We start from the raw sequence: 22,385 nt of genomic DNA on the forward strand, positions 1-22,385 counted from the left end.
AGATAGGACCGTCTAGTTGTAGGAAAACAAGCTCAGGTCTTCCACTGATTCTATATTACGGTGAGTTGTATAATTATTTCACTATGTATTGCAATGTAATAATAATAGAATTAAAGTGCACAATAAATGTAATGCACTTGAATCATCCCAGAACCATCTTCCCCACCCCCTGTCTGTGGAAAAAATTATCTTCCAAGAAACTGGTCCCTGGTGCCGAAAAGGTTGGGGACCGCTGGCCTGTAGTATTCAGTATAGTAAAATGCTGTACAGGTTTGAAGCCTAGGAGCAATTGACTATTCCATCCAGCATAGCTGTGTAGTAAGCTATACTATCTGGTTGTGTACAAGTACACCCTATGATGTTCTTACAACTGCATCGCCTAAGGATGCATCTCTTCAACTTCTCACCGTGGTTGAGGGATGCATGACTATATATATTTTCAATTTCCAATCAGCTAGGAATCACATTCCTGTAACTACTTGATTGGATATTTTTGGTTGTTTGTTCACCAGTATAGCAGGCAGGCTTTTAAGAATAATAAATCCATAAATTAGATTAAAATATTGGACCATATTAATGGTTGGTGCTATCAGGAATGGAGACTTACTAGGAAGAGTTTAGCGCATGTTGGAGGAAACTCAGGAAAAAAAAAAGGCCAAAAGTAACACCTGTGAAGTAAGGTGAAAGCGCCTGGAGCTATTTAGCCAGAAATGAGTTGTGGTATAATAACTGTCATAGATATGTATCAGAACATGACTAATTGTTGTTCGTCTTTGCTGAAATCTGAAAAGAAAAAAGTTCAAGGGTAGTTTAAGTGATGTATGTTTAATACTGAGAAGAAGAGCCATGACAGCTGATGGACAGGACATAAGAATGCTTATCATGGGATACATCTCTTGGGAAGAGAAAAAGGGCTTTTACATGTAGCAGTCTTCCCTGTCATGAATGAGGACAGGTCCTGCCTTAAGGCAGAGGGTTTACTAGTTGGCTTCCACAAGGCCCTTCTAGAACTGTAATTCTGAGCCACTTCAGATGCTGAGATTGAACTCGACACAGCCAAGTATCTCCTCTTTTAGGAGCTCCAGCAGTGCCGAGGAGGCAGTGCCACCAGCAGCGACGACAGCATTTATTCCAACTGAAGACTTCACTCAAAGGTGAGTCAGGTCAGTGTGGACCTGGGCGCTTCCTTTTCCTCCAGCTCTCACTGGGTCCAGGCACAGGAGCCCTGAGGGATCGGCGACCACAGTACTCCCTCCCCGGCCACCAATATAAGCTTTGACAGAGGATGGCTGGTTAGCTGGTGTTAGGTGGGAGGGACTCGCCACGGAGACGCGCTCAAGGAGGGATGAGTTGCGCCACCACCACCTAGGTCCCTCTCTCGCTATCCGGCGGGGCCGCCCGGACCCAGGTGCTGCCAGGGTACGCCTGGCGCCCGCCATCCCAGAGCAGCGTCCCGCTGCGCACGGTCTCCCTCCAGCTCCGGTCCCCGCGGGAGGGCGCGTGGGATGATGCGCGGGTCCTTGTGCCTTCCCCAAGCTCCAGCATCCGGAGCCGCCCTAGCCGGCACCGCGGCAGCCACAGCCTGGGAGAGAGAAAGGAAAGAGGGAGGGCGGCGGGAAAGGCTCGGCGCGGGAGGAGGGCGGGTGAGGAGGGAAGGAGCGAGGGGGAGGGAGCCTCTCTCCTCAGCGGTGCAGCTAGTCTCCCTCCAGCGGGCGGCGACTCCGGGTTCCCCCTCGCGCCCTCTCGCAGAGGCTCGCCCCCTTCCCCGCCCACCGTCCCTGCGAGCGCGGGCGGCGGCGGTGGGCGTGTGCGCGCGTGAAGGACGCCGCCTCTCTCTCGCTCCTGCGTTCGCAGGCGGCGGCTGGCGGCCGGCTTCTCGCTCGGGCAGCGGCGGCGGCGGCGGCGGCGGCTTCCGGAGTCCCGCTGCGAAGATGCTCAAAGTCACGGTGCCCTCCTGCTCCGCCTCGTCCTGCTCTTCGGTCACCGCCAGTGCGGCCCCGGGGACCGCGAGCCTCGTCCCGGATTACTGGATCGACGGCTCCAACAGGGATGCGCTGAGCGATTTCTTCGAGGTGGAGTCGGAGCTGGGACGGTAAGGCGCGGGCTCCGGCTGGGGAAGCCCGCGGCGTGCACTGGGGGTTGTCCCTCTCGCAGCGACGGCTCGGAGGGTGCGGGAGCCTGCCTTCGTGCCCTTCGATTTCTCCCTACCTAGTTAGTGTCTTGAGAGAGAGCTAACCTTCATTCAGGTGCGGCTCGAGTCCTTCCCACCCCACCAGAGCGCCTAGGCCGGTGCAGCTGTAGGATCAGCCCGACTCCCTCCCACCTTCCCTCCTTCTCGCAGGCTGCCACTTCCCTTGGGTGACAGCTCCCACCGCACGTGGGCCCTGCTTTCCCAATTGATATCTTTGCTCACGATTATAGCTTGCCAGAGGGTCCTGTTTGTCTAGTTATTGTTTAGGGTGGGGGCCGGAGGGTGCCCCTCCAAATCAAGACAGAATTATTAAGTTAGATTCCTCCTCCTTCCCCTCGTCAAGCTCTCCAAAGCAAGTGACACGAGAAATTAAACTTAAATACTAGCTTCCCTGCAGAGTCTGCTCAGGAGTGAAGGGAGAAATGAATCATTTAAGAGAGTTGAAGGCAGAATAATGAACTAGTGTGGCTTTAAAGAGAAAGCAGCATATGGGATCCAGGCAGTGGTAATTAGTGAGAATGCTGCTGCTTCCCTTCTTTCATGGGCTGGAGTGATTTATTTAAATTATATATGCAACAGACCATCTCCCTAGGATTGCAGATATGTCCCCTATCCCTCCTCTGAAGATCCAAACAGGTAGCAGTTTGGCCTTCTGCATGATTCCATATGCTTTCGTATTTGTATCCATTGAAAATTATAGTTTTCTTTCCCTTACTTCCTTTTTTTTTGTCTTTTCTCTCTGTTATCCATAGGTAAGGAGATTTATTTTCAACACTTATTTTAGATCCAGGCTCTTTAGTATAGGGAATCTGAAGATGTAATTTCAACGGTTGACAAGTTGCAGCTTCTGTACTTACTACTCCTTTGCAATTTCATTTTTCATTCTCTTTTTGCTGGAAATAGTATTGCTAACAGCCTTTTTATTTTTTCAAGTCATTGGAGGATCCAGAGCAGGATTCTGGATGTTGGTATTTAGTGGGAAGATGTAATGATCACTGCCCACTCTCCCCCCACTTTGCTAGTACTATTGAAGGCTCATTGAATATAGATGTGTAAAATAGGCAAACTTCTGAATGAAAATTCAGTGATTTGTCACTGTTAAAAATGTTTTGAAGTATTTGAGCACTGAATAATGTATACATAAACATCCATTTTTGATCAAGTTTTTCAGTATTCATCTGAAGATCTATTATATATATAGGTGGAAATGAAAGGACAATGATGTCGATTTTTGTAAGGTCCAAAACATGCCTGTTATTAATTGTATGATGCGTGACAGTGGAACCATGTAAACCTCTGAGTAAAGGGATGATCTACTTAAAATTGTTTACTGGGTGTTTTATAAACTACTGTGTAGTAGAGGAAGTGCCTGATGCTGCTGCAGGGACTGTCCCAGTAGCACATCTGTTTTCAGAGTAACATTAACCCTAGATGCCTCAAATAGGCTGACTTATCCACACACGTTGTCTTTATGAATAAGCTTCATCGTCATGAAACTCAAGAAATTCACTTTAATTTGAAAAATGGGAAAAAAATAAACTGCCAATTGTATACCCCTATGAGATGGTAGCCTGCATAGGAAAAAACTGAGAAATTTGAAGTTTGGGTTTTTTATTTTTCAGTTCAGAATTACGTGTTGCAGTAAATTTTGGAGGACAAATATTAATCGGTTATACAGAAGCTTCTCAACTTATGATGGTGTTATGTCCCAATAAGCCCACTGTAGTTGAAAATATCAGAAGTTGAAAATGCATTTACTACACCTGTGCTAACAAACGTTGTAGCTTAGCCTAGCCTACCTGAAACATGCTCAGAACACTTAATATTAGCCTACATTTGGGCAAAATCATCTAACATAAAGCCTATTTTATAATAACTGTTAAATACCGTGTACAGATGGGATTTTGTAGACATGGTGAGATATGAAACACAAAACACAATATTCAAAAAACACTGACAACAGAGAACACTCTAGAGTTCCGGTTGTTTACCCTCCTGTGGTTAACTGGGAGCTGTGGCTAATGGCCGGTGCCCAGCATCAGAGAGAGTATCCTACCATGTATAGTTCAGGAAAAGATCAAAATTTGAAGTACGATTTCTACTGAATGCTATCACTTTCCCACCATCATAAAAGTCGAAAAATTGTAAGTTAAGCCCATCCTATTGGAGACCCTCTGTCTATACATTGCTAAGATTCTCGCTCTATTATCTAGTCTTATGATTACTGTAAAAGATCACAGAGTTAAACTACATTGAGGAACAATAAAAGCTAAAATGTCTTACTTAGGCTCTGTTTGTCAGCAGTAAAGCGTATTGTTAGGTAAGTTTTCTGTACATGGCAGCATTCGTGGGGTGCATGCTTACTCTGGCTGAGACTTTGAGAAGTATCATTTTCATTATCAGAAATTTTTAAGTAAATAAACTTAAAACATCAACTACTATTCTAGATATAATTATTAAGAATCGATAGAGCCAGAGAATGCAACAGAATGATGATCGTAGATATTGGCTGAGTGACTAAAATCTTCTTTCTTCCTACACTAGAGATCAAGTTGAACTCAGGTCATCAGTTTCAAGCCTTTACTCTCAGCTTTGGACCAAATCCACCTGCTAGTGTGACTCTAATTCATTAGTAATGCAGTTGTCATTAATATACTAAGAGAACAGTGCTTCTGGTGTTACGTGTTGCTGTTGTGGTTAGCTCTAGAAAGTAGACAGTCTCCACCAGAATTAGTGATTTGTTGGCTCCTCCATTACAGTTGTCTGTTGTAAAGTAGTGACTCCTGATTGCAAGAAGATTGGACGGTGACCACTGGGGCGATACACCCTGAGGATGTGTTTGGGAACTCAAGGGGAGCTAAACTCCCAAGGCTATATCCACCTGAAGCCCCTGGATAGTGCTGGCGAAGGCAGGTGCTGGCAGCACTGATCCACATGGAGCCATTGAGACCAAGACAGATGTGCTCACTTTCTTTTGGCAGGGAGGGCATAGAGTATAGGGGTTACGGGTGAATTAAAAGTATCAGGCAAAGTAATTTTCCTAAAATCACATTTGAAGACACTGTTTTGTTCATAGAGTTTTTCAAAAAGTTTACAAAAATCATGACACACACACATTCAACTCTACTTAAAAATACGAATTGGCCATGATCCTATTCAGGGCTCCAGATCCTCGAGAGCAGTTGGTCTTTTGCCCAGTGATTTGAGAAACTGGCATTTTAAAGGCTTTTCTGAGGGAGAAGGGAGCTGCCTCTGGTCCAGATCCCGCCCAGTGGTTTGGCACATGGAATGACAGGAAATGGCCCAGCCTGCTTGGTGGTGCAGATTTCGTCTGTGCATGCAAACCCATGTCCTGTTTTCAGTTGTCTCACCTTTAGTTTCTCACTGTTGTTCCATGTTGAAAGAAAAGATGATAAGAAAACCAGATGTATTCCCAGACATACAAATCCAAGGAAACCAAACCAAATGAAAGATAATTAGAACAAGAGAAGAATGTGTTAAACTATTTTGGAACCTTTTTTTTCTTTAAATTTAGTTCCCATTCCACTTACTGTAGTTTCTTTAGGCTAGGCACTTTGCATACTCCTCCCCACTGCAATGTAATTTTAAATAATACATTTATGTGTCACATTTATGTAAACACAATTATGTGTATACATTTATAATTTTAAATACATTTATTTGTCAACTCAATTAAACTAATTATATAGGATCCCTTGCTATATGTATTATTGTTTAGGAACCAAATAGATTTCCATAGTAAGGGGTGTGTGTGTGTGTGTGTGTGTGTGTGTGTGTGTGTGTATAAAACAGAAACAATTTCATAAAACAGTGTTTATTCTTATTACCAGCAATGCACTTTAATATTTTCTATTATATGCTGTTTGATTTCATCTATTTTGTTAAAAAAACTTGGCTGAACCCATGTGATTTCACATCCCACTAATGTGTTGTGATTCAGTTTGAAAAGTGCTGTTGTAGGCCATAAATCTGTGTGTGATAGATTAAGCTATGAGGCAGAGTCTTTTAAAGAAATTCCCTGCAGACCAATTGGCAACATTGGGTGGTATCCTTTTGGCACAGCCCTGTAGAGAAAAAGGCTCCTATCTTTGCCTCCAGGTCATTACTGATTTTTCCCCTTCTAAACATTTTGGAAAAACTCTGGTGTCTCCCTAAGGTCTGCTGGGCACACAGTAATTTGAACTGGCTAAGAGTGCCAGGGGCTGTGTTGGGAAGGAACTCAGAGACTGAGAAGTGGTATATTCTACATGGTAACATGTATTCTGGCTCCAGGTCACAGTGAGCAAATGCTTTCTATAAGGAAACACGAAAGCGTGCATTTTCTAAGAGAAGGGCTTCAGCCAATGTTCTTGGCTTGTCTTAGTGCTCTTGGCTCTGGTTGATATAACAAGATGTCTTAGACTGGGTGGCTTAAACAATAAATATGCATTTCTCACAGCTCTGGAGGCTAGGAAGTCCAAGATCAGGGTCCCAGCCAATGCATTTCCTCAGTTAGGACTCTCTGTTTTGCAGATGGCTGCCTTCTCGCTGTGTCGTCACAAGGCAGAGAGGAAGAGAGAAAGAGAGGGGAAGAGAGAAAGAAACCAAGCTCTCTGGTGCCTCTTCTTACAAGTGCACTGATCCCACGATGAGGGGTTTAGCTGCATAACCTCATACTAAACATAATTACCTTCCAAAAGCCCCACCTATAAATACCATCATATTGGAGTTGGAATAAGGCTTCAACATGTGAATTTTGAGGGGACACAATTCAGTCCACAGCATGGCTGCTGAAGAAACAGATTCTCCTTTTTTTTGGTCAACCAATTTCCTAAACCATTCTCGTGACCAGAGCTTCTTAGATCCTTGATTTTTTCCGACACCATGCTTTAGGGCCCCATGGCCTATCTGGGTAGGTATACTGCTGGCTTCTGATCTCCTGCTACACACACTGCACTTAGAAGCTCCAGCTCTTGGGGGATGGTAGGTTTTTTTATCTTACTAGGAATTAAAAATATACTTGTGCCAACCCTGTCTTGTTCTCTGTGCATCTGATTCTTTTCTCAGGCAGTTGACTCAGGAGCAAGGTGGGATTGCAAGTGGGAGAATAAAAACTGGGGCTTCATAGGGTCTTCCCAGGAACACTGACTGTAAGCTTCCAGAAGGCAGAGTCTGTGGGTTTGGCTGGTTCACTATTATGTGCTCATGTCTAGCAGAGCACTTAGTACTTAACAGGTACTCAACAAATGATTTTAAAGAGGGTGAATCAATGATAATGAAATGGGCCGGGTGCAGCATGTGTACCCGCTTCCTCTTCTTTGAGGTCTTGGTCCTGATGTCGTAGTGATATTGATTCTAGTGACCCTAGGATAAGGAGAATACTGTAACCCTTTTCTCTTCTCCCTAAAACTTGCCTGACAATAACCCTAATCTCAATCAGCATTGGTTTTCTTTCTTCAGTGTGAGTATTGGTAGCTGCCACCTCTGTAGCTTGCTGTTGTTAAAAATAATGTCACTTTTCTGTTGGCAGAGTGTTTTGTGGCTCTGAAATGAAAGGGATTCAGTTTCACCTTCACTGTCACTTTACCACAGGTGTATCAGAATTAGGAGTTAAATCAAGTTGGACTAAAAGGCATGAAATGCCTCCAAGCTATACCATCCACTAAAGTTAATGCATAGTAAATGCTAAATTTGGAAATATACTCACTGTAAAAACCTTAAAATCAAGTGAAGGCTACGATAACATCATTGCTTTAAGAGCACACTACTTTTCCATGTTTAAATACTGTCACAAGGTTAAAAATAACTCCAGATTTTGGGGGAAAAAAAAAAAAAAGACACAGGTGCCATCTGCTTCTAAACTGTTCTGGAGAACTTGAAAGAGAGAGAGAAAAAGAACACTAACCACAAAATAGCTTCAAAGAACTTTCTTGTAAACACTTTACCCTCAGACATATATGTGTGGGTTATGTGTTTGCAGTAATACATTTAAGAACAAAGTAGTGTTAGCCAAGTGAAGTGTTTCAACTACTAGTTATTTTTTGTTAATATTTTTTTTCTTTTTTTCCTCTTTTTTTTTAAAAAAAATAAAGGGTTTTTTAAAAACTCTTTTGGGAAAGCTACGTATCTAATAAACAGAATATTGATTTTGTAAAATTTCAAGGTCAAATTCATACTGCAAAATATGGTGTTTGAGGCAAGGAACCATGTAATTCAGGACAAAGAGGAACTTTTCATGAAGTTGATAGCAGCTAGAGTCAAGGTTTTACTCAAATTATATTGATCTTTACCTCAGTTTTCTTGATCTATTTGTAGTACAGGATTATCTGAAGATTTCATGACTCCAATGGTTTAATTAGGAAGTTAGGTCTAAATATCGAAGGCATAGTATTAGCACATAAAGGATGTGGACCCTTCAATACAGTTTGTCAGAGATTTTCCTCAGTCATTATCTTGTCAGTGGTAAAGATCAAATAAAGAAAAGAACAGTGTCTGGAGAGACAGTGATTCATAGTGATGGGTAAAGGGTAATGCAAGTAGACCTTCCTCTTTTCTCTTAGACTAGGGTTTCTCAATCTAGGCACTATAGACTTCTGGCCCAGGAAATTCCTTGTTGTGGGGGCTGTCCTGTGCACTGTAGGATGTTTAACAGTGTCCCTGGCCTCTACCTACTAGCTGCCAGTAGTGACACCCTTATAAGTTGTTAAACCAAAACTGTCTCTAAACATTGTCAAATGTGTCCCCTCTCTCCTCTTGAGAATCATGTCTTGAAGCTAGTGTTTTACACATTTTCTTTCAGTTATGTAGATAGTGAACAACAACAAGGAGATTGATAGATTATGTTAATTTGGCTTTACTGAGTATCTGCTACAACCAAATGTTTCTCCCATTTCTATGTATTACCATAAGATTTCTGTTTTATGTGTATTCCACTTCTGCTATTTGCTTAATATTTTTATTTAAATTACCTTATTTTGTTAACCTAAATTTATTTACCAAGAATACAATTTTCACTAAATTGAAAACTGTGAATAAAAGCAAATTGTATATGCCATAAATAGAAACAAATTGTAAAAATAAATTGTAATGGAAACATAACATTTTTAGTAAATTATAGCTAGACTTGTCCACATGCAGAAGGCTGTAACTCTGAGGACTGATTTCTTCCTTAAAAAAGAGATGATCAAAGATTAGCAGAGTTAAAACCAGAGTAGCACAAATTGAAGTTTTCTTCTTGATGTAATCAGAATCATTGAAAAGTAATTGAAAAGAAAAGGATGTTCTCGCTCTCTCTTTTATTCCTTGTTATTTAATTCCATGCGTTTGTGCTACCTAAAGTCCTCTTGTTTATAAGTCTAAGCTTTTCAATAATTCTGACCTAGACGATGTATGCTGGCAGTGTGCATGTGGTGGGGTAAGGGCCTAGAGTGTAAATGAGCATGATAAATCAATATTTGGCCTCCAAGTGCATAGGGTACTACTAATAAGGCACCAACAATATATTTAATAAAAGATAAATTAATGAATAAGTAAAATGAATAAAACTTATTAGAAATCTAAGAACAATAGCCATCTTCATGACAGAGTTGTGACAGAGAGGACTGGGGTGTCTTTATGGGGGAGGGGTAGACTCTGAAATTTGGCAGGATTTTAATAGGTAGAGCACTGGCAAACAGCATGTCAGGCAGATGGTACATTCTAAGAAGAGGCAAAAAAAGGACAGAAAAATTCAGGATATACATTTTTGTTTTGCAAAATTTATAAAGCATGAACATTGCAATGGCAGATTGGGTCAGCAGGGTAAGTTGATGTCAGACCAAAGACAACCTGTTTAAAAAAAACAAAAAGAGTAGGCTTGTGTCACTTGAAAACCACTTTGTAGATAAAGTAACCATTGTGAGAGAAAAACGTCAGCTATAGAAGCAGCTGGGTCTTGGGCTGAGGTTGTGGGACTCAGAATTTGCCACTACCTATAATGTAGATCAAACATGGGGCTAGATAAGAGAAAACTGATGATGTAAATTTTTTTTTTTTTTTAAGGAAAAAACAATCCCATAGCCTATGACTAGGTAAGAAAGGAGAAATGTTGGACTTAGATTGGTTACCTAGACCAGGTAAAGAGTGAGTAAAAAGAGACAGTAAGTATTTTAGGCTTGAAGGCCATTCAGTCTCTGATGCAGCTCTACCCTCTGCCATGGTTGAGAGAAAGCAGGCATAGACAACATACAGACAATAGCACATTACTGTGTTCCAGTGACATGTCATTTATGACAGTAAAATTTGACTTTCATATAATTTTCACATCACAAAATAGTATTCTTCTTTTGATTTTTAAAAATGCAAAAATTGTTTTTAGATTGCAGACTCTAGAAAATCAAACGGCTCCTAGGTCTGGTCTGTGGTTTGCTAACCTAGACCAGTCAAGCTAAACTTCTGCTCCTCCCCAGTTGCATGAGAATTTCAGGTTAAAATGATATCAAATCTTAACTTATTCAAGGAACTACCTTTAGTCTCTCTTTCACTTTGAAAATGTCAACTTTTTATTAGTTTTCCACGTGGGCACAAGCTTTAAATGCATACTCATCTTTTATCAAAATCTACTGAAACTGCTACAGTTACAGTTCTTACCAATGTAACATGTTGGCTAGTTCCATTTCTCTCTTTCTTCCTCCTATTTCTTTTTGTCTGATACTGATTATATGACTGATGTTTACTTCACATAATGTTTGTGAAAATGAAGAGCCTTTATTCGAAGGGCGTGAAAGTTAAATTTCCATACCGTGAACAATGTTCATATCAAAAGACTATTTATTGGCGGGTAATTTGTTTTGTACATAATAACTAAATAGGTTTCAAATTGATAATTCCTCTATTATATTTAGAGTGACAATAATATGCTAAATAAATTACTGATGAAAGATTTTCCTCTAACTAGTAAAGTTGAATTAATTTTTCCATTTGCTAGTATTAGCTGTGTGTTGAATAATCCTTCTATATGCTATGCAGATGTCTCAGGTGGATAATTAAGGTCATTTAAATGAGGAACCTGTTTAAGCAATCTTTTGAAAACTTAAAATTACTCCTTTTTTATATATTGAATAGAGTTAAATTAAATCAGCCACTCATATTTCGACTATAGCAGAGGTCTATAAGGTGGGATGCCCGTAGCCAGGGTATGTGTAATACAATGAGGTGCTAGAAGAAAGTATTAGAGAATCTGTTTTGGTTTCTTTTTTTAATTTTTGTCTTTAATTTTTATTTTTGGATGTTTTAAAAAGCACATTAATGTTGGTTAAGTAACACATATATACCATTAATAGGTACGTTAGTGTACACAGTTTGGAAGCATGTGCTCAAAAAACATTTTATTGGATGGTGACTGGGTCAAAGAATGGTAGTCATAAGTGGATACTGAATAAACTTCTTTATATTTAAATAACATTCTACTTTATGAAAAGTGAGTTTAAAGCAAATATACAGATAAATATGCAAACAAAAAATCATATTGCAAGGTGTGTCTTTGTGCAGAAAGGGGAAGTGGGTACATACGTGCAACTGTTATGCATCTCAAGACTACTTGATGAACGGTTTTGATAAGAACTTACTGCCATTGTAACCAAAACAGTCACATAGAAGAAAACAGAATGAGAGTAAAGGAATACAGATTGCACATCAAGCAGAGGGTGAACTTAACTTTGGCTTCAACAACAAAGTTTCAGTGGTCATGGAGTTGAGAGGGAAAAAGAGTAGAGAAATAGGGTTTGTTTGCAAGAATCTCAATTTTAATATAACTAATGCACTTCGTGGCAAATTTTGCCAACTGCTGGCTTAGGCAGCTAAAGGCACTGACCTAAAGTGTTTTGTGGACAGTACTTGAAGAGTTGTGGGCATTAGTGCCAGGATGCTGAGCTTAACCCTGTTAGCAAATGTGTTGTTACCACTTGCTTGTTAAGTCATGTTTCAGGGTAGTATGGCTCAAAAATTTACCAGGTACCGAAATATTTCATGGAAAAAAATAAAGAAGGCTAGATTTGAGACCACCATCTGATTGGAATAGTCTCTGAAAAAAGATAATGGATAGGACACGTTCTTACCTGTTTTCTTTACAAGTTTGTAGTAGCATGCTTTGTTAAAAGTGCACTTTCTTTGATATATGTCATGCCTGTAGACAGAACTTGACTAATATTATAAACTGGAACATAGAAGTGGAGAAGATAACAGATCTATAATTGTGCTCACACATGTCTTGTTACCTACAATGAAGTATTTGAATGATGTCTCCCTATTTTAGGTCTTTATGGACTGTTTAATAGAGACCTTCACTTGCATTTTACTTTTCATTGCTCAGAATGTTGCACTGTTAGTTTGGTTTGCCTTACTTTTACTGATTTGAAGGGACAATTCATGACTACTTTAATTTAGTAAGCAGCTGCCTTCCACTTAGGACTCTAACAGACACACAAAGTTGTTCTTTAGTTGCGAAAACTGCTCTAAGATTAGTGTTTACCTGGATTTTCATATTTGCTGCTTATTCATTCAAATAAGTCATTTTTATTCAAAGCTCTCCGTCAGGGCAACCACTGAGAAAATAAGACTATGCTATTAAATGTGACCAAATTCAAAATATGTAATTCAATAAATCAGCCTGGCCTAGAGTGTTCAGTTCTAATAGGCCTCTAAAGGGTTCTTCTTGACTGGAAACATTTTAGTGACTCCTGAGGGACCCTGGGCTCTTCCTCTCTTTTTCCCCTCAATGTGAACATGTACACTAATAACAATGTTCAATGAGGTAAACTCGTGAGCTCTCTGAGTGCAACCTGTAACTGGAGGCAAACTAAGAACGTAATAAACAGAGCTTATCATATGTATGTGTGACACACCAATGAAGTGGGAACCTGAGAAAATTTTCAGGATGATCTCCAGAAAACCAGTGCAGTTCTTTAAAATATTGACCTACTGAGGAAATGGAATGTCAGGACTGAGCTAAGGGCTGTTGGGATTGGGGGAAGTGGTTGGCCTAAGGATCTGGCTTGGGCCAGGCAAGGGCAGCAGAGCGTTGGTCCGAGCCTGAGCCAAGTAGTGGAGGGGAGTGATCCTCGGGGAGCCACCTCTAAGGGGAGAGGTGGGTGAGGCAGCTACTCAGGGTGGCTCTGAGGCGGGGAGCACCAAGCAGGCCATTCTGGACAGCTGGATTGGTGAAGATGAAGGTCTGCTGAGCAAGGCAGGGGCTAAGACAGGAACAGGCAGGACACAATTGTTACTTGACGGCCCTGCCTCTTTGGGCATAAAGCCCCGCACCTCACTCAGCTTCATTTGTAAAGTGAAGATTGTGGTAGTGTGTTCTCCACGTCATTTCTGTGACAATCAAATGAGATCACAAATGTGAAACACTGAGCTCCATACCCAGCACATAAACTTAATATTATTCCCCACACAGGCCACAAGGTGGGAAGTAGGAGATAATGACTCCCACTTGTGTATTGATAGGATAAATACCTTACTTAGTTCAGTTTATACAGCCTTGTTAGCAATCTGAGCTCAACTTCCAGGCCAGCCTCCTTCCCCACCACTTCTCTTCTGTAATTACCATCATGGGATATTTACTAGGAGCTTGGTGTGATTATACTGTCTTTAAGTACGTTGCTAGTTAGTTCGAGAATACTACCAGGTGTTTATCACCAGCACCAATTCACAAGGATGAGCCTGAGGCTCAGAATGGTGAAGCACCTTGTCTAAGCTCACACAGCCAGGTGGAGAGGAGCAGAGCTGAGATTCAAGCCCTGGTTTGTCAGACTTCAGCACTCATGCTCTTTTGCTCTACCTGCCTTGGCTGCACAGATGCCTCAGTGATCTTCATATCTCTGTGGTGTTAAGCATGAAACTCTCTTGGCCTGAAATGTGCCTCTCCTATGAATCCCTCCAGGACAGTCATCCACCTCAGGTAGAAAGTTTCTGCCCTTTCCCCACTCACACCATTTCATAATTCCCCATCTCCAGTGTTTATGGTCTTACAGGTGAATGCTTTGTCGTCTTCACCACCAGAACATCTGCTTATTGGGCAGAGGAACCCCATATCTTATCCCTCTTTTATTCCTACTACTAGGCCCATCCCTCAGCCTAATGCCTGCCTCCCCTTAAGTGTTTCTGGAACATTATGTGAATGAACAAATGTCAGAGGAATTAGGCAAATAGCTGCAAGAAAATCAGCGGTACTTAAAACTGTCTTTCTTCAGGATGTTTTTTTCTATACGAACCCACTTCTAAACTAGCACACCGAAATTACTTGTTCAGTACGTGTCTCCCTCTCATTAGAATGTAAGCTCTTGAGGCTCTGGTTTCTGTCCCTTTGTTCCCTGCTGTGTCCCCAGAATCTTAGCACAATGCCTAGTTTATAGTGAACACTCATTACATATTTGCTGAGTAATATATCAGTTGCACCCATGGGGTTTCCACAATTGAAACTCCTTTTGAACCCAGGGAGCTCTGGTCTTTTGTCAGTCATCTCTATCTTAAAGAGCCCCCATCTCTAAGTGATCAGGGATACTGTCACCTTCTGTGAGGAGATTATCTACCTCTAAGATCCCTTCTAGTCCCAACCATGTGTGCACCTGCGTTTTCTTCCAGTTGAATTCTCTGGGCGATCACCTTAGTTCTTTATGTTGTTTAGGAGACAGAGCAGCTTTTGAAGTAAGTAGGGCTCTAAGCCTGAAAGGCTTTCTAAGTGTGTTGGAGGATCCTCACATAAATTTTATTCTCATTTTGTGCTTTCTAAATGCATCACCTTTAAAAAATGTACCTATTGTTACATTCACTCATTTGTACTTCCTGCTGTAGACTATACAAATGCTAGCACTAGTTGTAGATATCTAGGACAAGATTTAGAAGAAAGTATGTTTCCTGGCTTCCTCTACCCCTCTAGTTTTGCTTTTAGAAAAGAATCATTCTTTTTAAAAAGCTTGACTTATGACCTATTTGTGGCTATGTAACCAGTTAGCAATGTCCTGTCACATGGTTGGGTAACATATCCCCTGACTTGACCATAGGAGGGGAAGGAAGACCTAAGGAGAGGGTCTTGAAGGAGATAAGAGCATAAATAGTCTGTTCCATGTCTATCTATATTTGGGGATATTATTTAAAAGCCATCTACTGAAATGCTTAATCATCGATCAAAAAGAAATGCAGCTTGACATAACTTCCAAGTAGGGTTATTAACTTTACATTCCTGATGTTTATGCACTGTCAAAGTAATTATTCTGGAAATGTGTACCTTCCCATCTTTCTTTTGACAACCAGAGGCCAGGGGAGCGTGGTGAAAGGAAACTGTGGGTGGGAAGCAGAGAGGCAGACACAGGGCTGAGGGGCAGAAGGGAGGCCACTCCTTACCAGCTTTACTTCTTGTTTTCTGAGTCCAGTTACCCCTAGGCCCAGAGCACTTCTCCGTCCCCTCCTGATTTCTCCCTGTTTCCTTCATCTCTCCAGAGCCTAGGTACCAGTCATTTCCTTGTATCTGCCCATCTTATGGAATGAATGTTTATTCCTCCAAAGGCATGTATTGAGACCCTAACTCCCAATACGATGGGGTTTGGAGATGTGCCTTCGGCAGAAAATTAGGTTTAGGTGAGGTGATGAGGCATTAGTGCTCTTATTAAAAGAGTTGTGAGAGCTTGCTCGCTCGCTGTCTCTCATCACTGACCATGGAGGACACAGCAAGAAGTCTGCAAGCCTGGAAGAGAGTTCTCATCAGAACCCGACCACACTGGCACCCGATTGCAGACTTCCAGCCCTCAGAACTGTGAAAAAAATGTTTTTTTTTTTTAAGTTAAGCCACCCCAGTCTGTGGCACTTTGTTACCAGCCAGAGCAGAGAAAGACAGCCCTGTACCCTTTTCCCCCATTTGGCACCTGTCTGACGTCGCAGTTTGAGGAGTGATCTGCTCTTCTTTCTCAGATGCCTGACATTTCCTCCCAGATACTGGGTAAAGGAGGCCAGAACCCCACTTCACAAGGAGTAAAGCTCCTTACTTGTTTTATCTAGGATGGCTAAAGCTGACTCTCAGAGGCTCTTCTTTTTTTTTTTTTTTTTTTTTTTTTTTTAACAGGAGGTGGGCTCCCTAGCATGCCTCCACCTTGCCAGACCCTAGACTGGGACAATTCTTCTGTGGCTACATCCCCACTTCCACTCGTGCCTTCCAGGCACTAGCACCTTGGATCCCACTGTGCATCCGTACCTGTTGGCTTTCCAAGTGTCAATGCCTGCCAGCTCCTGGTACATTATTTCCTCAGCAGCTGGCACGGGATTTTTTGTTGCCAACTAGAAGCTCAGCTATTAAAAAATAAAACTTGGCGCATCTTGAGTATCATATGTTTTCATCAGGACTTGGATCTGTATTCTGGCACAGCTCACACGATCACTTTGGGGACCTCTCTCAGGACTAGGAACCCAGTATTCCTCTGGGTCTTTGACCGTGTTTTCACCTTATTCTGAATATATTCTCAAACCTTGAAAAACCTATGATGCTTACGATTAATTCGAGGTCTGTTTTACTTGTGTTTTGCTTGGTTTTATTGGATTTTTTTTAACCTTGTCAGTGTTTCTTTAGCACTAGGTTGCTTTCTCTGGCTGTTATTGTCAGTTTTCTATCTTAAATTATAAATTCCCGAGAATAAGATTCATGTTTCTCAGGTTAATGAATAGCTAACACACAACACTGAAATGGGGACCTTTACTGCATGTCTTTGCATGAACATGAGGTTATCCAAGAAGGGAGATTTTTATTTGCAGGGATTGTTAAATATTAAGATAAATGAAAAGGACAAGTTTTGGAGTTAGAAAGACCTGCAATAGAGTCCCAGTTCGGCCACTCATGAAGTGTGTCATTTTAGACAAATTTTCATTGAGCCTCAGCTTCTCCACCCATAAGAAGAGATAATAATGATTAAATGAGGTCAGTGCATTCATTATACACGGTAAGTGTCCAGTAAGCATTAGATATTATCGATATTAATTCTGGAATAGCTGTCTGTAAAGGTGGAGGGATTCTAGGTGATTGGATAGCACACTTTCTCAAAAATGTCATAAGATTCTAAAATTCTGGAAATGCGTTGGCAGGAGGCCTTAGTAATTCTCTGCTACTGCTTGCAGCTTCTGAGTAAGCTTTCTGAGCATCTAAGCTTCCCCTTTACCCAGGGGTAGTACATGGTGCAATATTTGTAAATATTTGACTACTGTTTTTTGATATTTCATGTATTGAAAAGAAGGTGTAGTATAACCGTAAGATTTTCCACATCTGCAGACAAAAGGAAAGTTGGGGTAGTTTAAAATAACTGCTGCATGTGGTTCTTTCTGTATAATTTTTAGTTTTTTTTCTTCTAAAAGGGTGTTAGAAAATATTAATCTTTTTGTTGCTTTGAGGTCTTATTTACACTAACTTTACCTCTTCTTCATAGATTAATTTTTCATTCTAAATGTTGCATTCTTCACCGGGAAGTTAAATAACCAAACCCAGAATCACTGCAACTTACCTGTGATTTAGAAATAGAGTTCTGGAAATCATTTAACAATCTAAAAAAAAAAAAACCCATAAGTAGTAAGGAATATTTGAAAGCAGTCTATTAGTTTGTGCACGCTGATAAAACAATACATCACATGGAAGAGACTTATATTTAAATGATGTTACTATTAGCCATACCTAAAAAATGTATTTCTCTAACGTGATACCTAAGTTGTAAAAGAAAGTTTGATTTCCAGTTTCATCTTACATTTCTTTTATAGCTGCTTTTAATTGTCCTACCCTCTCTTCTGGCGAAGGAACTTCATTGCAGTACTTAAGAAAACAAATTAATAACCTTGAAGAAAGCTGTTAATGAGATACTCATAACTAAGGAAAAAAGTGGGGGGATAGAAATTAGATGACCTAGGAGACACCTTACTTGAGTGTCATTTAGGTAAGGGTCATTCATTCTGGAAGGCCTCTCGGTAAAGGAGGAGGGATTACAAATGATTGGATATCACAGCCTTTCAAGTTGTTCTCTGATTCTGAGATTTCAGAAATGTTTTGGCTATAGGGCAATGCTAAGAGTCAAAAGCAGGGCTGCAGCCCACATTAAATAACCCTATGACTTTAGTAGATATTAATAGAACCCCCAGTGGCAACGATGGTGGTACAAAGATACATTCCAACTCTGGTACCTAGTAGCTGTTTATTGTTAATGAATCTTTTAAATTGTAACAAGCCCCATTTTCTCCTCTGTAGAATGAAAATACTAGTGCCTTTTTTCACAGGATTATTGCAAAGATTAAAAAAGGTAAATTCTTTGACTGTAGTTAAGTGTAAAAGCTATGCACACACTGCAAATTTTTATTTGAATAATAATAATTATGACTTTTTTTTTTTTTTACTATTAACTAAACTGCAGATTTTATTTGAATTTCACCAGCTTTTCTACTGATGTCCTCTTTCTCTTCTAGGGTCCAGTCTAGGCAAATATATTGCATTTAATTACCATGTCTTCCTTGCTCAGTTTCTTAGTCTTTGCCTGTTTTTCATTACCTTGAAAGTCTTGAGCAATACTGGACAAGTATCCTGTGGAATACCCACCCCCAGCCCCTATGCCCCCAGTCTGGATTTGTCTGTCATTTCTCATGATTAACTGGGGAAGAATACCACAAAAATGAAGTGCCCTCCTTGTGACATCGTATCAGATGTTGCACGATGTCATGTGACATCTCTATGGATGTCAACCTCTGTCACTTTCCAGGTTTCTCCACTGTACAGTTACTATTTACCTCTTTTCTTACTCTATCTAGTCTTTGGAACTTGGTGACTAAGTCTAGCTCACCCTTGGGGAAAAAGGGGTTAAACTTCACTGCCCAGAGTGGAGAATATCTACATAAATTGCTTATCGTTCTGTAAGGAATATTTCTGAGGTATTATTTTATAACTGATAAATTCTTATATATATAAAATAATGATTGAATGTCTTAAGTCATTTTTGAAAAATCTTGTGAAAATATACTACTGCCAGTAAATCATGCAATTGGGAATGTACTAACCAGTGAGAAGCTTTGAATCTAATAGGAGAAGCTGTCCCTGGAATCTTGCTGTTACAGAGCGGAGCACATTGGAGCTGAGGGCTCAAAGGGAGGGCCTGAAGTCAGGTCTGTTTCATCTTGACAGAGGTAGATCAGCTCTAGGCAATAACTGATTTCTGTGTATGTCTTGTTGGTGAATAATTCATGGCAGGAACAGCCCTTATTTAAGATGGACTGTTGGAACTTCCCACTGGAAGACCACGCAGGCAACTTTGACACAGGCTATTCGAAACTAACTCCATCTTCCACTCACCCCCAAACAACAGCCACAAGAAAACCTGGTGTCCTGCTTGTGTAGCCCACCTCAGTACATGTTACCCCCATTTGCTTTGCTCCTTACCTAGAAATCCAGCGGTATTCTGGATTTCTCCTTCACCCCTTCCCCTAATAAGACATATTCTCCCACTTAATACATGTATAACCCTGGGCAAGTCACTTATCCTTTCTGAGTCTTTGAAGGGGTATAATAATAATCTCATAAGGTTATTATGAAGATTAAATGAAACAGTGTATCATAAAGTTCCTTGGCATCGTACCTAGTATATTTCACACATTCAATAAAGGTTAATAGGTATGATTTATATCTCTTAAATATACTTTAAATCCGTTCCCTCCTCTGTGTGGCCACTGATCTTTTTCATTTACATCATTTGGAACTCTTTCCTAGGTTATTGCACTGGTATTTAAATCTTGTCTCTAATCTTATTGCATCCCATCTGCTTGTAAGATGACCTTTCTAAGGCCAAGTTTGATAATGTCACTCCCCTGCCTAAAATCCTTTAACATCTTCCATCCCATCCAGGATGTGAAAGTCCTTTGCATGAACAGCAGGTCTTTTCAGAACAGCCGTTGCGCTTGCCGTCTTACGCCCACCACTCCTGCGTTCTCACCTGGGCTCCAGCCCTACAGCTATTTTTCCTCACCCAGGATGTGTCATGCTGTCCTGTGTTCTTGTGCAGCACCTCCATGGTGCACCTTCCCAAACCGCGCCCCCTCACTCCACGCCCCCTCTTTCTACACCCCTCTTCCATATTTTGTAAACACCTTTTCTGATTCAGGATAGTGCAGGTGTCATCTCGGGAAGCCCTGCTTGGCTCAGATGCAGGCAGCCTGATGCTCTCTCTGCCTCTACTTTTTAGTGCACTGTGGCGAGGTCCTGTCTGCCTCTACACCTGGATTGGGAGCTCCTCTAAGACTTTTTAGTTCCCATGTACCTCCACAGTTCCGGGCAGATGTTTAAAACATTATTCAATGACTTGTAGTAAAGCACAGTAAGGCAGATTTCACTCAGGACCATTGAATAGGGACCACTGCAATGGGGTCCTGCAGTGGGGAAGAGAAAGATTGGGCTTAACTCCAAAGACAGCAAGGGCAAGTGGGATTTTATAGCCAAGGGGCAAGGACAGTGGATGGAAAATTACTAAGAGGAAACATCGGTGATATGGGGAACCTGTGGTTCTTCCTGAAGATAGCCAGGGTGATCAGGCATCACCTGGGGAAGAGTGAAGGATGAGGAACTTGATCAGACTCTGAGTGTAATCAGACATTGAGAGTAGTGGGTTATTGCCAGATTGACTTAGCAAGGTTCTTATGAAAACTGTATTGTACAAGGAAGCACACAGATGGGCGTAGCAGAAGGCTCAGGAGCCTGACTAAAGTTTTGTCAAGCAAAGAATCTTTGTCACACAGGGTAGACTAAAAAAATGTTTACTGCCTGCCAGTTATAGGTTCTATCATGACTGAGTTAACCTAACTGGAAATTTTACTAGCCCTATCATGGGAAAGGCTCCAATTTCCCTCTCTGCCAATATCTTCTTGTTTTTTGTCTGTTTGTTTTTGCACCTTCTGAAGCCTATTGAGAGGATGAGGAAGGATTCAGGCAAGTATCTCTGGGAGTCTCCTAGCCGGCGGTTCTTTCCTGTGTTTACAAAGGGGCACTGCTGGGGAATGTCAAGCCTCGTAATGTAAAAAATACTGAAGATATTGTGACTGTATCTTGTGCCTATAGCTGCACGAATGCAACATGCATTCATCTTCACCATTCTTAAGATTCTGACTTAGATTTTTTCAGGAACTTAGAGCTGGATAGAACTTTAAAATTCAACCAGTCCAGTGTTTTGTTTGTTTGTTTTTGTTTTTTTAATACAGATGAAGAAACCGGAGCACAGAGAAGTCACCTGTCTTTTCCAGCCCTTCAAAACTAGTTAGTAGTAGAAATGGAACCAGAACCTTGGTCTTCTGCACTTTTGTCTCTGACGTACTTCCTTTCTTCACAAGTGCCATTTACAGAAAGCTGGGCTTAAACCATTCCCAGCTATTCCTCCTACAGCTTTCCTGAATTATTTCAGAATACAAAATTCTGTATCTCCAAGAAACTATTACAGATTTAGATTTAAAAATATGCACTATTTTCTACCTTGTATGTTTTGCTTACTATTTTTTTTTGCAGAGGATATGTCTTAAAAATTGAAATGCATCAAAAATTATTAAACATTGCAGAATATTTTATACTTGTCTTCATTCCCATTTTGGAGAGTGTTCACCTTGTAAAAAATCTTTGTCCTCAAATGTATTGGAATCACAGTTAAGAATTCTAGCCTTGATGTTGGTTTGCATTGTCTTCTGGTCTATGAGTGATTTGGGGCTGAGATATTCTTTGTCATACCTCTTTGAAGATACTAGTTAAATATGCTAGTGTCCCACTCACTTTTAAAAGCTGACCTATATTAAAATATAACATAAAATAGTCTGGGCGCAGTGGCACACGCCTGTAATCTCAGCACTTTGGGAGGCTGAGGCAGGCGGATGTCGAGGTCAGGAGATCAAGACTATCTTGGCCAACATGGCGAAACCCCATCTCTATTAAAAATACAAAAATTAGCCGGGCATGGTGGTGCGTGCCTGTAGTCCCAGCTACTTGGGGGGCTGAGGCAAGAGAATTGCTTGAACCCGGGAAGTGGAGGCTGCAGTTAGCCGAGATCGCACCACTGCATTCCAGCCTGGGTGACAGAGCGAGATTCTGTCTCAAAAAATTAAAAATAAAATAAATAAATAAATAATATAACATAACATAAAATAAATCCTTTTTTGTTTCTAACTTTCT

General features: G+C 40.9%; 1 protein-coding gene across 6 annotated transcripts in view, besides 6 other annotated features; it reads left to right on the forward strand.

The window, feature by feature from the left end:
• Positions 961-1,060: an enhancer, noted in NCBI's record as "active region_22890". NCBI's record gives its function as "activates an Ori minimal core promoter by ATAC-STARR-seq in GM12878 lymphoblastoid cells {active_cell/tissue: GM12878}" and the evidence as "EXISTENCE:reporter gene assay evidence [ECO:0000049][PMID:35858748]".
• CAMK4 (calcium/calmodulin dependent protein kinase IV) overlaps positions 1,031-22,385 on the forward strand; it is a 271,304-nt gene continuing 249,949 nt past the window's right edge. For 4 of the 6 annotated variants that reach the window (XR_948303.3, NM_001744.6, NM_001323377.2 and 1 more), the window contains exon 1: positions 1,832-2,092. Coding sequence is in view for 3 of the 6 variants with exons in the window: in NM_001744.6 (NP_001735.1) it covers positions 1,932-2,092 (161 nt within the window). In the remaining 3 variants the exon portion in view is untranslated. Of the gene's footprint in view, positions 1,155-1,364; positions 1,420-1,831; positions 2,093-22,385 lie in introns of those variants that run through there. The other 2 variants (NM_001323375.2, NM_001323374.2) reach the window with 2 other exon arrangements.
• Positions 1,421-1,910: a silencer, noted in NCBI's record as "silent region_16229". NCBI's record gives its function as "represses an Ori minimal core promoter by ATAC-STARR-seq in GM12878 lymphoblastoid cells {active_cell/tissue: GM12878}" and the evidence as "EXISTENCE:reporter gene assay evidence [ECO:0000049][PMID:35858748]".
• Positions 2,021-2,070: an enhancer, noted in NCBI's record as "active region_22891". NCBI's record gives its function as "activates an Ori minimal core promoter by ATAC-STARR-seq in GM12878 lymphoblastoid cells {active_cell/tissue: GM12878}" and the evidence as "EXISTENCE:reporter gene assay evidence [ECO:0000049][PMID:35858748]".
• Positions 11,704-11,753: a silencer, noted in NCBI's record as "silent region_16230". NCBI's record gives its function as "represses an Ori minimal core promoter by ATAC-STARR-seq in GM12878 lymphoblastoid cells {active_cell/tissue: GM12878}" and the evidence as "EXISTENCE:reporter gene assay evidence [ECO:0000049][PMID:35858748]".
• Positions 11,774-11,823: a silencer, noted in NCBI's record as "silent region_16231". NCBI's record gives its function as "represses an Ori minimal core promoter by ATAC-STARR-seq in GM12878 lymphoblastoid cells {active_cell/tissue: GM12878}" and the evidence as "EXISTENCE:reporter gene assay evidence [ECO:0000049][PMID:35858748]".
• Positions 15,112-15,211: a silencer, noted in NCBI's record as "silent region_16232". NCBI's record gives its function as "represses an Ori minimal core promoter by ATAC-STARR-seq in GM12878 lymphoblastoid cells {active_cell/tissue: GM12878}" and the evidence as "EXISTENCE:reporter gene assay evidence [ECO:0000049][PMID:35858748]".

The sequence above is a fragment of the Homo sapiens genome, chromosome 5, assembly GCF_000001405.40.
Source record: "Homo sapiens chromosome 5, GRCh38.p14 Primary Assembly".
NCBI lineage: Eukaryota > Metazoa > Chordata > Mammalia > Primates > Hominidae > Homo > Homo sapiens.